General features: G+C 41.9%; 1 long non-coding RNA gene and 1 pseudogene across 2 annotated transcripts in view; one reads left to right on the top strand and one right to left on the bottom strand.

Annotated features, from left to right (window-relative positions):
* The window catches only part of LOC105374804 (uncharacterized), a 33362-nt gene that overhangs the window by 8716 nt on the left and 9588 nt on the right, over nucleotides 1-15058 (top strand). The window contains exons 2-3 of one of the 2 annotated variants that reach the window (XR_007087053.1): nucleotides 3989-4165; nucleotides 4740-4812. This is a non-coding gene — a long non-coding RNA (uncharacterized LOC105374804). Of the gene's footprint in view, nucleotides 1-3988; nucleotides 4166-4739; nucleotides 5234-15058 lie in introns of those variants that run through there. The other variant, XR_007087045.1, reaches the window with a different exon arrangement.
* On the bottom strand, nucleotides 6003-7015 carry RPSAP28 (ribosomal protein SA pseudogene 28; annotated as a pseudogene).

Below are 15058 nucleotides of genomic sequence, written 5' to 3'. Positions count from 1 at the left end.
AGGATTATTGTTTGGCTTCTTAGATTTTTATTAGAGACGGCAATCTGGCTTCCTACAAGTCTGGCATAGCAGGCTAGCTTCCTGGACTGGTTATTGTAGATATGGGTTGATTTCCTGGGAAGATTACTACTGGTTGTGGATCAAAGTTCTGCTTTTTTAAAATAGAGACAGGATCTTGCTCTGTTACCCAGGCTGGACTGCAGTGGCATGGTCATAGCTCACTGCAGCCCCAAACTCCTCGTCTCAAGCAATCCTCCCACCTTGACCTCCCAAAGGGCTGAGATTAAAAGCATGAGCCACCACATGCAGCTGAGGGTTCTATTCTTATATGTGATCTGGCTGTTATTAGTTTGTATATTCAGTCAAATATACAAATACTCAACAAATATTTATTAAGTAGCTACTAAATGCCAGTCACTTTGCCAGATGCTAGAGTAACAGAAATTAAATGACATCTTCCTGCTTTCAGGATTTACAGTCTCATGGGGAGACATAGACAGAGTTTCCCCTTAGAAATCAGTGACCAGGTTTGCTTACATTGGATTCCTAGAATATCTGCCTGGAGGCAACCCTGGGAATATTTTTCATGAAGCCAGTAGTAAAATTATTTTCTTAGCCTGTTCAGAGTGGTATAACAAAATACCATAGACTAGGTGGCTTATAAATGACAGATGTTTATTTCTCACAGTTCTGGAAGCTGGGAAGTCCAAGATCAAGGCACCAGCAGATTCAGTGTCTAACAAGGGCCCGCTTCTTCATAGACAGCCATCTTCTCACTCTACTCTTACATGGCAGAGGGAGGGAGGGAACTCTCTTAGGCTTTTTAAAATAAGGACACTAATCACTTTCTGATACAATCACCTTGGAGTTAGGATTTCAACATATGAATTTTGGAGGAATGCAAATATTCAAACCATAGTAATCATGAATTGAGGAATTTCAGCAATCCTTATAATAAAAACATCTTATGCCTGGTTATTAAAATGTCACTTTAATTGCTGCTGTTCTCTGTAGTGTATGAACCAAGATTGGGATTGGTGGATATGGCAGAGCCATTACTCTCATTGAATGAATTGTTTACCTGAGGTTCCTGCTGTGATTGGATGCAGGAATGACTTTATTCCAAGATAATTCTTCACCAAGGTATAAAGTTAGGTATAGGTAAGGTAGTAATTAGATCAACTGGTGCAGACAATCCCAGTGTCTACAGCTGAAAATACTTAAGCTGTCCAGCAGCTCTTATATTGCAAGTGGACAGTCTGAATGCCAAACTGATGTCTCCTGAGGCTTAGCCTTCCAGAGAGTAACCAGGAATCATTCTTAAAACACATCATCCTTTAAACAAATAGTTGTGTTTCTGAATTACATCAATATGTCACTATATGTCTTAACCCATCCTCCTTAGAAACCAAAGTACACAATGATGTGGAGGAGGACTCTGGTAGAGGAAGGGAGGTCAGAGTAAGGAGGTTGCAACCCCACTCAGATGATGAGTGACAGGAGTGGATAGTGGCACGGACAAGAAAGATGAAAACACAAACTGAAAAGAAACTGCCAGAGAGATAGGAAGAGAACACAAAAAGAGTGGTATTGTAGAATGTAGGTGTCTTAGTCTATTTTGTGCTGCTGTAACAGAATACCACAGACTAGGTTATTTAGAAAGAAAAGAGATTTATTTTGCTCACTATTGTAGAGGCTGGGAAGTCCGAGAGTATAGTGCTAGCACCTGGTGAGGGTCATCCCAAAGAGGATGGACGGAAGGCAGAAGCAAGTGCATGAGGCAGAGAGAGGAAATTAGGCTGAACTCATTGTTTTATCAGAAAGCCAGTCCCAAGATAACTAACTCACTCCTACAATAATGGCATTAATCCATTCGTGAGGTTCTGGAAGCTGGGAAGCCCAAGATCAAGGCACCAGCAGTTTCAGTGTCTAACGAGGGCCTGCTTCCTCATAGACAGCCACCTTCTCACTCCACTCTTACATGGCAGAAGGAGTGAAGGGTGAAGCCTAACCATCTCTTAAAGGTCCCACCTCTTAATACTGTTACTTTTTTATGTGTAAGAGATCTGAATATATTAGTATGCTGAGGAAATAGACCCAAAGGAAGGAAAGAGATTGAAGGTAGAAAACAGGGAGAATTAATAAAAACAGAGAAGATGATGAGTGATTCAGGTGGAGGGATTACTCTTAAATAGGAGAAGTATGTGGCTTTCTCATACAGCAGAAAAAAGAAAGGTGCCAGGCCACAAGCATCTCTCACCTGGACTACTGACACTCTCCTTGTTGGTCTCCTGCTTTCTATTCTTGCCCTTACAATCCGTTCTCCATTCAGTGGCCTAAGTGAGCTCTCAGAATATGTATGGATTCATCTGCTGTTACTTAAATAGCCTCCAATGCTCCCTGTTATGTTCAGAATAAAATCTAAATTTCTTAGCTTTCCCTGTTGCTTGGCCTTTGACTACTTCTCCACCCTAATTCAACACTTCCCTCCCTCTTGCTCAATAACCCTAGTCTCACTGGCCTCCTTTCTGTTTTTCAAGCCAAGACCTTCCCTGCCTCAAGACTTTGCATTTGGTCCCTCAGCCTTGAACATTTTTCTTTCAGCTATTCTCTGAGCTCATAATTCAGACTTCAGCTTGACTTATCTCATGTAAGCTGCCCCTAGTTACTCATCATGATATTCTCTTCATAGCACATTTAGCACCCTGGATTCATTAAACTTATTTTTTTATTTGAGAATGTCTGTTTTTTTCCACTAGAATATAAGCCACAAGAGGTAGAATCTTCATTATTCTTTTTTTTTTTTTTTTACCAAATTATCCCTGATGGCTGGCATATTATGGGAATTCAGAAAATATGTTTTAAATGAATGAATAAGTTGGTAAAAGTGATGAAGGTAGCCAGGGGATTGATCCAAGATCAGGAGTTGCAGAACAAGTGCAATAGCAGGACCAAGAGCAAGAGAAGGGTTAAAGTGATTTAATAGGGAGCCTGGATAGACATTTGTAATATTTTTAGCTGCTCTTCTTATTTCCCATTGAATAGCACTACTGGGATACAGTGCTCCCTGACCCATCACAGAAGGGTCATCCCTCTACCTGTCACCTAACAGTCAAGGCATGGACATGTGACCTAGATTCACCCATTTGAATATTCCCGTCTGTCTGGGGCCAGTAGCATTGGCATCACCTGGGAGCCTTAGAAATGCAGAATCTCAGGGCCCACCGAGATGTACTGAATCTGCATTTTAACAAGATCCCACATGATTCATACATATTAAAGTGTGAAAAGCACTGGCTTAGAACACATTCATACTGGTGGAATTGAGAGTCCAGCAGTAGCAACAGCCAAAGGAGCAAGGAGACATATCCTTATCAATTAGTTCTTATGGCATGCTTAGTCATGGGTCCTGCTCCCCGCCCATCCTTGGTTCTACCAGGACTACTTGGTTCACCAGCTACTCACACAATGCTGTGTAATAAACAATCATAAAATCTCAAGGACCTATAATAAAAAGCATTGTTTCTTGCTTATACACAAGCCAGTTACCTGGGGATATCTGTTTCAGGCTGCAGTGTACAAATTGGCTAGGATATCTTTACCAGTCTTTCATTCTTCTGGGACTAGCAGGTTACCCAGAGAATGCTTCTTTTATGATGGAGGTCCAAAGCTCTCAGGATGAGTGGAAACACAAATGCTTCTAAGGCTACAGGCATACTGTCTCTTCCTCCAATGCTTCAATGTCCAAAGAAAATCATGTGGGAAAATCCAGCATCGTATTTCTCCCATGGAGGTTGATGGAGGATAGGAAATAAATATTTACCGAATGACAAACCTAACACATGCCACCCCTTTTCCAAGCCTGGTTTCCAACTTTCCCACTGGTTCTTGAAACCCCTCAATATGCTTCCAGTAGGTTCCTTTTCTGCTGAAGTTAGCCAGAGTCAGTTTCTATCACTTGAACTCTAAAACTCTCGCTGATTCACAGGAGGAAGTCCAGGTCAAATAAGGAAGGAGGTAGAGCCCAGGGATGCAGCTGTCAGACCTTGGAGAAGGAGCACTTGGAGACTAGAGTGCACAAGATGGCTCAAAAGGGATTAAGGATGAATGGAGAGATGGGAGATTTTGACCAGAAACTAAAATACTGGAGTTTAAATGGCTCAAGGTATGGCTACAGGAATGAGTTCCTGAAACAAGTCTCCCATGTGGTTATGAAAACTCTTAGGATTCTCCAGCAATACACACCAATAGGCTATATAGATGTAGATATATGGATTTATGAGAGGAGATTTACTAGAATTGGCTCATGAGCTTATGGAGGCTGATGAGTTCCACAACAGACCACCTCCATGTTGGAGACCCTGGGATGCTGGTAGCATAGCTCAGTCCAAGTCTAAAGGCCTCAGAACTAGGGAAGCTGATGGTATACCTCTCAGTCTGAGGTGTAAGATCTGAGAACCTGGAGGACTGCTGGTATAAGTTCTGGAGTCCAAAGCTGGAAAACCTGGAGTTCTGTTGTCCAAGGACAGGAGCGGAAGAGTGTATACCCGCTGAAGCAGATAGATAGATACATTAGCCTTTCCTCTGTTTTTGTTCTCTCAGGTCCCCCGGCCAATTAGATGGTACCTGCCCACATTGAAGGCAGATCTCCACCTAGTCTACTCAGATTCATACTCTAATCATTTCTGGAAACACCCTCACAGATATACCCCCAGAATAATGCTTTACCAATTTTCTAGGCATTCCTTAATCTACTCAAAGTGACACCTAAGATTAACCATCACAAATGGGGATGAAGTCTGGATTAGCGAGGTGAGTCAAATGCCACATTCTACCTGCACACTATACAGATAAGTGACAAGAGGGTCATATGGTTATCAAAGGGACAGGAGGGAAGAGAAGAGTAAGGTTTTTTGAGTGCTAGGCACTATAATGGGTATTTTACAATCATCGCTTCCTGTAATCTTGACAAAAATTGTCCAATGTATTTTACAGGTGAGGAAACCAAGGCTCATATTAAGTTAAATAATTTGCCCAGTGTAACCCAGCCAGTAAAAGGGGGTGCAGTGGAGATTCAAGTCCAGCCTGACTACAAAGTCTGTGCAGCTTCCCATTAAACCAAACAGTGTAGAAGCTTCCAGTGGGTCAGTGGGAGCAGGCAAGTCTAAGTGCTGGTTCTGTTGTATAATAAGTAGAACATGGGAACATGTCAACCTGCCCTGCAGAGGTTGCAAGGACAGTTGTGTCCTCAGGGGAAAGAGAGGTGTCAGTTAAGGATGGGATAAGGTGAAAGGCTATTTAGGCAGGGAAGTTTGCCTACAATTGCAACACAAGTTTGGAGAAAGGAGGTCAGCAGTGGAAGATGAGCCCAAGAGAAAGACTTGCAGAAATAGGGAGATGAAAGCCTTTCAGTGAGAGGAAATGGGGGGAGCTTGCATTTTTATATGGCTGAAGATGAAGAAATGTAGAGGCATGGAATTGGTTTGCATCAAAGACCAAGACCATTCTCTACAGGGGAGCAAGAGTGATCCCACTAAATCATTAAACAGAGCATTTCATGTCTCTATTCAAAATGCTACAAGGGTTTTCAACCACACTCACAATAAAATTCAGAGTCCTAACCAAAGCCTACAGGAGCCTACATGATCTGGCTTCCATTGAAATACCTCCAGATCTAAACTCCTACTCATGCCCCTTGCTTACCCCACTCCAGCCATGCTGGCTTCCTCACTGTTCCTCAACGTGCAGAGCAAACTGCCGCCTCAGGGCCCTTGCATGGGCTGTTCTCACTGCCTAGAACATATTCCAGAGTCTCTGCCCTACTAGAGGCCTTCTCTGATAACCCAACATACCCATGCCCTTGCCCATGTCTTATTTTTTCTTTGCACTTATTACCACCCAAATTTATTTATTTAGTTATTGTTTGTCTCACTTCCCACCATGAGAATGCAAGCTCCATGAGAAGCGATTTTTGTCTTTTTGTTTGATTGTTTGTTTGTTTATTTTAGAAAATGATGTTTATTTTCCACCAGCCTTATTTCCATGTTGCTTAAGAGCCTGTGGAAGAACAGCTTTAAGCCCATTCAGTGGTTGTTCCTATGTATTCAGTGGCCTGAGCAGTGGGAGCTGCAGACCAGTCTTCCGTGGCAGGCTAAGCACTCTAGTCTTCAGTAGGCAACTTCTGAATAGGCACAGAGGGCAGCTGCATGCCTTCAGACCAGCCTGCAACCTCAGGCTGAGCAGCAGTGAACTCAGGAGCTAGAGCAGTCCATTCAACCTGAAATTCCTCATTGGTCACAGCTTTTTCAGCAGCAGCCTGCTCTTCCTTCTCAAACTCTTCAGGATCTCTGTAGAAGTAAAGATCAGGCATGACCTTCCATGGGTGTTCATGGGAGATGGTGTCACGCATGCTCAGAACTTCCTGGGCCAGCCTCCACCACATCAGACCCACTGAGTGAACTCTCTTGTTGCAAGGAATGCCATTGTCTACATAGTGCAAAGAAGAATGTGTTACACAGAACAATGATAGGCAGGTTAACATAAGATGCCTCTGAGAGGCTGGTGGTCAGCCCTAGGATCAGTAAACACCCGAAGATGTGGCTCCCGGAAGGCTGCCAGTGGATCTGGTTAGTGAAGGTTTCAGAAATGAAGTGGCCGGCAATTGGAATGGCTCCCGTGGCAGCAGCAAACTTCAGGATGGCCTGCTGGCCAGGATTCCTGGAGGATATGACACTGACATCAGTAGGGTTTTCAATGGCATGAGCTGCCAGCAGAAGCCTCTCCCAGGTCCTCTTCAGATTTATGATGTAGATGCCATCACTTTTCCTTTTATAGATGTGCTGTTCCATTTGGAAGTCAAGGTTGGTGCCACCTAAATGGGTTCCTGCTGCAAGGAACTTGATGACATCCTCCTCTTTCATTTGCAGAACATTAAGGACTCCAGACATTGTGAACATTTTCCTTTAAGTTATGATGGCAATCCAGAACAACACTGTATGGACCCCTCTCTAGGTAGTGTGAAAAGGGATTTGGTGTGTTTTTTGTATTACTGCATGCCTAGTCCCTAAAAAAGCCTCTGGCATATAAGGAGGTGCTTGGTTAACATTGTCGAAAGAAATAAATGGACTTCAAATTGAACTGGCTGATCAAAAGATTCTGAATAGAACACTGGAATAAATGTGGTTTCACTGGAGCTGATATAGATGTCTGCCTATTGGAGAACTTTTAATTTCCTCTCCCAGTTGGCTTCTGGGGGCATTAGGTGGGCAGAAAGTGAAGGGCATTTCCAGGTGCTTGAGTGGGTGGCAGGGAAACTGATTATAACCTGCCATTGACTCCTGGTGGCAAAGTCTTCCTTAGGATGAGTCATTTCCACTAAGGGCTAAGTTGATCCAATAATAGCTTCATTTTTATAATGATTTTATAATCAGAAAAAATTATAAAAGTTAATATATGGCATATGTAGAGAGAAATCTTGTGAGTTTTTTTGTTGGTTGGTTTGTTTGTTTTTTGAGATAGAGTCTCACTCTTATCTCCCAGGTTGGAGTGCAGTGGCACTATCCCAGCTCACTACAACCTCTGCCTCCCAGGTTCAAGTGATTCTCCTGCCTCAGCCTCCCAAGTAGCTGGGATTACAGGCACCTGCCACCACTCCCAGCTAATTTTTGTATTTTTAGTACAGACGGGGTTTCACCATGTTAGCCAGGCTGGTCTCGAACTCCCAACCTCAGGTGATCCGCCCGCCTCAGCCTCCCAAAGTGCTGGGATTACAGGTGTGAGCCAGGGATGTTGTTTTATATATCTATATGTGTATGTATATATTTGTGTATGTATAGCTAGATAGGCAGCTAGATAGACGTAATATATTTAGTATACAATGAACCAGTGAGCACAACATGAAATATGCAATAAGTTCCCATTCCTGTGAGTCCAAAATTGCTGTCTCATCCATGGTGTAATGGGACCCCATGATCTCAGCTCACTTATCTTCTCAAGGCGTTGTTGCTATCATCACTGGTTCACAGCTGGATGCTGTTGTCAGCAATTGTTATGTAACAGAGGTGGTAGTGAGCTCAAATTTAGTGAAAGGAAGTTCATAATTTTTAGTTCATATATAGTATCCATCCCTGCCACCAGGGCCACTTTGTTAAGGTGCCCATTTGAGCAGGCTCTGGGGTGTATTGTAGGCAACTGCTCCCAAGTTCCCTAGAAATTTTGGAATTTCTCCACCGGGTTCCATGAGCTATTCATTTCCTTGCCCCAGTTAGAAATTGGAGTGTAATTGCCTCTTGTCTTATCTTGGCCTGATAATCAATTCAAAATACACCATATTTCTTTGAGGGCCTTTTGCTTAGAACACACTCTCAGATACCAATTTCTGTTCCAATTAGTGTTCTTTGGTTGTAGGCAATAGAATTACTCCTCTGGTCAACTTAATTTTTTAAAAAATTTATTGGAAAGATGTACTCTAGCTCCCATGAGTACCCAGTAATCTCACAGAGTTGTGAAAGCTAATAAATTGTTGTTTTAACACATTAAATTTTCAGGTGGTTTGTTATACATCATCAGATAACAAAAACATCTGCCTTATATAAAATAGTGGAAGAAAGATACAAGGAATATTAAAATGCATAATTGAAAATAAATATTTAATATATATGTGTAATTACATATGCATATGCATAATTTGAGGAATCATAAGATAGCTCCTAAAGTCCTCATTTCTGCAGCTAGGCACAAGTTACAGAACATTACTGAAATGCTGTGATGTCAACATCATGTTCTCTTTTTCTCAGTCTGTGTCTCAGCCAGTTGAGCCATTTTATCCATGGGGTGATCCAAACCATAGGGGTACTGTAGCCTCCCACTAGATTTTATTACTGGATATTCCATTCTTACGGAGTGTTCTAGAGGCTCACCTGTGTTCAGATATATTTTTTCCTCACTCAGTTTTGTGGCAGTATTCCTATTTCCCTTTGATTATCTGGATCAATTACCCCAGCCAAATGGTAATCCCCTTTTGGGCCTGTTAATCCAGGTGCATGAGGAATACAAAATGATCAGGTGACAGTTTCAGTTTCCCATTCAGTGGAGCCCTTGCTTTGTCCCATGGTGGAAACATTAATTCTTTGGGTACAGAAACCTCTAAATCAATACAGCCAAAAATTGAAAGAACAGGAAGCAAACATTTGGTAAGTTGTCCTAGTCCATTTTTGCTGCTATAGCAGAATACCACATACAGGATAATTTATAAGGAAGAGAAATTTATTTGACTCATGGTTCTGGAGGCTGGGAAGTCCAAGAGCAAGGTGCCAGCATCTGGTGAGGGTCATCCTATGCTGGAAGGCATCATATGATGAGGAGACATGCATGCAAGAGGCAGAGAGGGATGGAGGCTGAACTTCATGTTTTTATTGGGAGCCCACTCTCATGATAATTAACCCTCTCCTGCAATAACAGCATTAATCCCTTAATGAGGGTAGAGCTTTCGTGGACTAATTGCCTCTTAAAGGCAACTGCCTAAATCACCTCTTTAATTGCTAAAACATATTTAACAATTAGATTTCCAGCTTGTGAACTTTTGGGGGACACATTTGAACCATAGCATGGGTCATTAGACATAATATTTTAAAATAACACTACCACTTTCACCCCCTTGGTTCCCAGATCCATGAGTTCTGACTGTAGGAGAAACAGCACCATATATTATTAATAGTTACTTGTTCAGACTTTTGAAGCACCCACTCCCCTCGCCTAACTTCCCCAGTTGTCTTCCAGCTGTCTCAGTACCTGAGTTTATTAGGCCATTTAACCATTCTATATACTCAGTTGTTTCTGGGTAATGAGGCACGTGATAAGATCAGCAATTTCTGCATGGGCCAGCCCATTGCCTTGCTTCTTTCTTAGCCAGAAACAATGTTGTACAGAATACCATGGCCAGGAATAAGGTATCCAGTAATTTCAAGGATGGCATTTTTAACAGAAGCATGTTCGTTAAGCAAGCAAGACAAATACATATTTAGAATAAATGTCTATTCTAGTATGGGCAATACATTGACAGGGATCCAATAAAATCAACCTGCCACCAGGTGGCTGGCTGATCTTCTTAGATTATGATACTATATTAGGTGCTTACCATTGGATTTTGCTGCTGAAAGATTGGGTGCTCAGCAAGTGGAAGCTAGGTCGGCCTTGATGATGAGAGACCATAGAATTGAGCACAAGCACAGCCTCTATCTCTGCTGTCATAGCCACTTAGTTCATAAACTCATTGTGCAAGCTGGGCAAAAAGGCTGACTGAAACCCAGAGCAGCTAATCTTGTCTGCTCAATTATTGAGAGTCTCATCCCCTGTGGAGGTTTTCTGGTGAGCATTCATGTTTTACACAAATATCCTCACATTCTGAAACCACACCTCTTTCTCAGACTCCCTTGTCCCCTGCCCTCTGGAGCTGTTTCTCCCAAGTCTCTTGTCTGGCTGGCCAGACAATTAATCACTACTTATTAACTGCTGTACATTCATACTTCTCCTTCCAGGCAAAGAGGAAATAGAATGTACTAATATAAGTTCTGCACATTGGGCAGATTTCTCTTCACCACTGTCTTGAAGGCCCACTCTGAGCAGGGCTCTAATGCTGCTGATTTCATTTCTCGCTACTGACAGAATATTGTCTGGTGCCAGCTATAAACTAGGCTAAGGGTTTTCCTCTTCAGTCAGCTGGCCACAAGGAACAACCCAAGAGTCCAAAGGTGTGGCTTGAGGGATAGGTGGATATGCAATAGAAGTAGAGAACTAGGTTAGTTACTCTGAAATGCATCCAAAAAGCAAGATGAATTTGTGGATACATACAGGAATGAACAGATAATGTGCAAAAATATATATATATATAAGAATATGGGCCAGGCACAGTGACTCACACCTGTAATCAGGAGGATCACCTGAGGTCAGGAGTTTGAGACCAGCCTGGCCAACATCTCTACTAAAAATACAAAAAATTAGATGGGCGTGGTGGCGAACACCTGTAATCCCAGGTATTTGGGAGGCTGAGACAAGAGAATCACTTGAACCCAGGAGGCAGAGGTTGCAGTGAGCCGAGATCGTGCTATTGCACTCCAGCCTCGGCAACAGAGCAAGACTTCATCTCTCTCTCTCTCTCTCTCTCTCTCTCTCTCTCTCTCTCTCTCTCTCTCTATATATATATATATATATATATATATGAATATGTTAATGGTAGAATCTACGTGGTAGGTATATGGATGCTCACTGGACAAGTCTTTTGTTCTGTATGTTTAAAAATTTCTATAGAATGTCAAAAATAAGAGCACTGTAAATACTGAACAACCCCTATTCATTCAACTGAATTGTGCCTCTTAGAGCTGTTCAAGCCCAATTTCATACATACTACTACTGCTTGATGATGAACTCCTGCTAGGCATACTCTATGTCAAGGCATGGTAAATCAGATAATACCCAGTTTATGCTGATAATTCAGATCTCATGGTCATTTAGTGTACTATATTCAGGTGCTCAGTCTCTATCAGCCTCTAGCAAGCCACAGCCTCGCAAGGAGAATAGTGATTTTCCTAATAGAATTTTATTTTGCTCCAAAATCCTAAGGGGCTATGCTGTGATTCTTCTATCTAGGCTTTTTGCAACCTTTATACATCACCCCAATCTGCCACAAATACTTCGAGGACTATTTCATACTTTGGATCATAAAAGCTGGGTGCCAAGCAGCTTCAACAAGCCAGAATTTCTCTTATTCTGCAGTTCATTGAAGTCTGGCCCCCTTACAGTTTACTTAGTCAACGGGCTAAAGTAAAGGTTACTCAGTAAATGCACCATATGTTGCCTCAAAAATCCAGAATAATCTGCCATGTGTTGTACCTTTTTCTTAAAGGTAGGAATGCAGGGTGTTTTTCATTTTACAACTTGTTTTTCATTTTGAAGGTGTCAGCTAATGTTCCCCAGGACATTAGATTCCCAAACATTTCCATGAGGGAACACATTGGAATTCTTGTGGGATTTCACAACCACCTTTCAGCAGGCATGTATCTCATCAGGGAATTGAGAATACCTACTATTTCCTGCTCTCAGTTCCTATCAGAATGAATGTCATCAATATATTGGCTCAAAGTAATATCCAGTAAGACAGTGAGACACTCATGCCCATAGGGACCAAAGTATGACCACCTTAAGCCAAGAAAATAGAGATAGATAAGTGACCCTTACAGGTAAAAGCAATTTCCTCTACTATTATCTGCTTATTAGGAGATAGAAAAAAAGACAATTTCACCTTCCAGGTATGAGGCTCTGGGTTAATTTTTCTCCAGTAAAGAGAATCAGCAACTCTAATTGAAATTACTACCTGATTAAGCTTATAGTAATCCAATAAAATTCTCAAAGACACACACCAAACAGGTGAGTGAAATGGAGATGTGGTAAGAATCACTACTTATAAGTATTTTAAGTGTTTGATGGTACCTCATCACCATAATTCCAAAGGGATATGATATTGTCTTTAGTTTATAACTTTGGTAGGGAGAGGAATCTCCATGTACTTACACTTGGCCCTTTCTACCATAATAGACATGATTCCATGGGTCAGAGAACAATCTTTATTTTTCTACCAGTAGCTGAATATTTCTACTTCCACTATGAACTCCAGAACTAGGAAAATAAACACGGTATGGATATAAGATTCACTGGGCCACTGTGAGAAGAATGCTAGCCCAAAATTCATCACTTAGCTCTCATAAATCCCACCCTGACTGGGGGACGACAGTGGAATTCAGTTTTCTCAGGGATTAAGCTTGCTTTGGACCCAGTAGCTAATCATTCCTGAGAGATCTGAATGTTTGTCTTCCCTGGGGCTCAGTTTCCATGGTAAATAGGCCTGAGTCTTCTTGGGAAACAGGAGGAATAAGAGTTATATATATCTAAGTTACCACAGGGTTCCTCCCCAGGGTTCCTGATCTCTCCTTCATTCAAGGGGTGCTGGGTCATTGAACTGACTCAGAAATGGAAAAAGGGTGAGAGGACATGACTCTTCATTGGGATAGCTTAAGTCAGGACTCTTTCCATACACGTAACAAATTTTTTTCTTCTAGTTTTACAGTTGAGTAGAATCTTAGTGGTCTGTCTATGTATTTTGGCCCTGAGTACCTCAGGTTAGCCACCATCAAAGTTTCCTATGGGTCAGACAATTCTGAGAACCACTCTATCACTGATACCTATTGTGTAGCCATGCTGCCTTTCTCCACTGGTTAAGTGCTACTTCATGGTCTCCGCCACTGTGGGATAGGATCATTTCACCAAAATCCAGGTATACATTTCTATAGCAAAATCCCTCATCCAAATTTTCCTTCTCCATTTCCACTTTTTTACATTTGTACTTTTCCATGTCATGGTGAAAGAAATATTCTCTGAGCCTTTTTGGGTAATTTAATTTGGAAGGGAGTGAGTGAATGACAAATCCACATTTGATAAATCCACTCCAAAATTTCAAAAACATGTCTTTTGATTTCCTTTTTTTTTTTTTTTCGAGACAGAGTTATGTTCTTGTTGCCCACACTGGAGTGCAGTGGCTCGATCTCAGCTCACTGCAACCTCTGCCTCCTGAGTTCAAGCGATTCTCCGGTCTCAGCCTCCTGAGTAGCTGGGATTACAGGCACCAGCCACCATGCCCAGCTAATTTTTTGTATTTTTAGTAGAGACAGGGTTTCACGATGTTGGCCAGGCTGGTCTCAGACTCCTGACCTCAGGTGATCCACCTGCCTCGGCCTCCCAAAGTGCTAGGATTACAGGCGTAAGCCACCACACCCAGCTGATTTCTTTATATCATACTTTGATGTGTTTCTGGTATGAGTTTCTGGAATCTCAATTTCCCATCACATAGGCCACACCAAGTTTTAATCAAACTAAAGAAGCAATTAGGTCCTCTAAAATTAAGTAAATTCAGGCCAATGTAAAAGTGTGTCCCTAATCTCTTAGACTCCATGTCCATATATATATTACCCATGTCTTGTTGAAATAAATTAGCAAAACTTTGCAATTATTTTGCTAAGGTTTAACTTTGTGATTGGTCCCCTGGGACACAGGACAATATGACTGCTTGTATGTTTCAGTACAATGAGCAGGGACAGGAGGGGGATAATGAGAATTGTCATCTGCTGACAAGAAAACTATCTTAGGTGAGATCACAAGAAGGGCTTAAAGTAGGACAGGAACAGGCATATAAGATGGGGTAGGGTAAGGGTGAGAGGGCTTCTGCTATCAAGAGAAACTCACTGGGGTTTGAGGTACTTGGTATCCTCAGATCTTCCCAAATTTCCCCAAATTCTCATGGTGCCATCCTTTCCCAATTGATGCCCTAAGTTTTTACCTAAAAGATCAGGGAGGACTATGAGTTCAACCTATATTAATCCAGCAAGCCAGTTAACCTCAGTCATGTAGGACTACATGGAGAGATTATTTCAGGGCAGTCATAGGAATTCCCTGGTTCTCTAACCATGTCTTCAGGCAAGAATTTAAAACCCTGAAGCTTTAATTTTCTTTCCTTAAGCAGTTAGAAATAGCCCACCCAAGTCACAACCTTTATATTCCTTATGGCCTTCACATCATCTGTCACAGCAGCTACTTTGACTGCCAAGGCATTATCTTCAATATGTACTTCACTCCAGGTATCCACAGATGATAGTTGAAGTAATCGTCCACCACTGTGTACCATGCACTGCCAGCAACCATTCTCTGATGTCAAACAGATTGTCACAGCTTTCAATTGCAACGAAGGCAGATAACCAATCCAACCTCCCCATTTCACTGAAGTACTGTTTACTGCAATCACAGCTGGTAGGGGTTAAGGGCACTTGTTTTAGCCAACAGAATCTACTGTAACATGTTTTAATGAACAGGATTTGTTACAGAATATTATCTTAATAATTTCCAGGCAATTTTGGGTGATGATGCAGCCAGGAGAAACACCCAATCCCACCATGGAGGGTCCCACACCACTACTTTTTACAGACATGAATGAGATTAAGGACAAGACAGTAGGGAG

This window comes from Homo sapiens, chromosome 2 (genome assembly GCF_000001405.40).
Source record: "Homo sapiens chromosome 2, GRCh38.p14 Primary Assembly".
In the NCBI taxonomy this organism is placed as follows: domain Eukaryota; kingdom Metazoa; phylum Chordata; class Mammalia; order Primates; family Hominidae; genus Homo; species Homo sapiens.
Note: the sequence above shows the minus strand (reverse complement) of the source record. Positions and strands in the feature narration are given on the sequence as shown.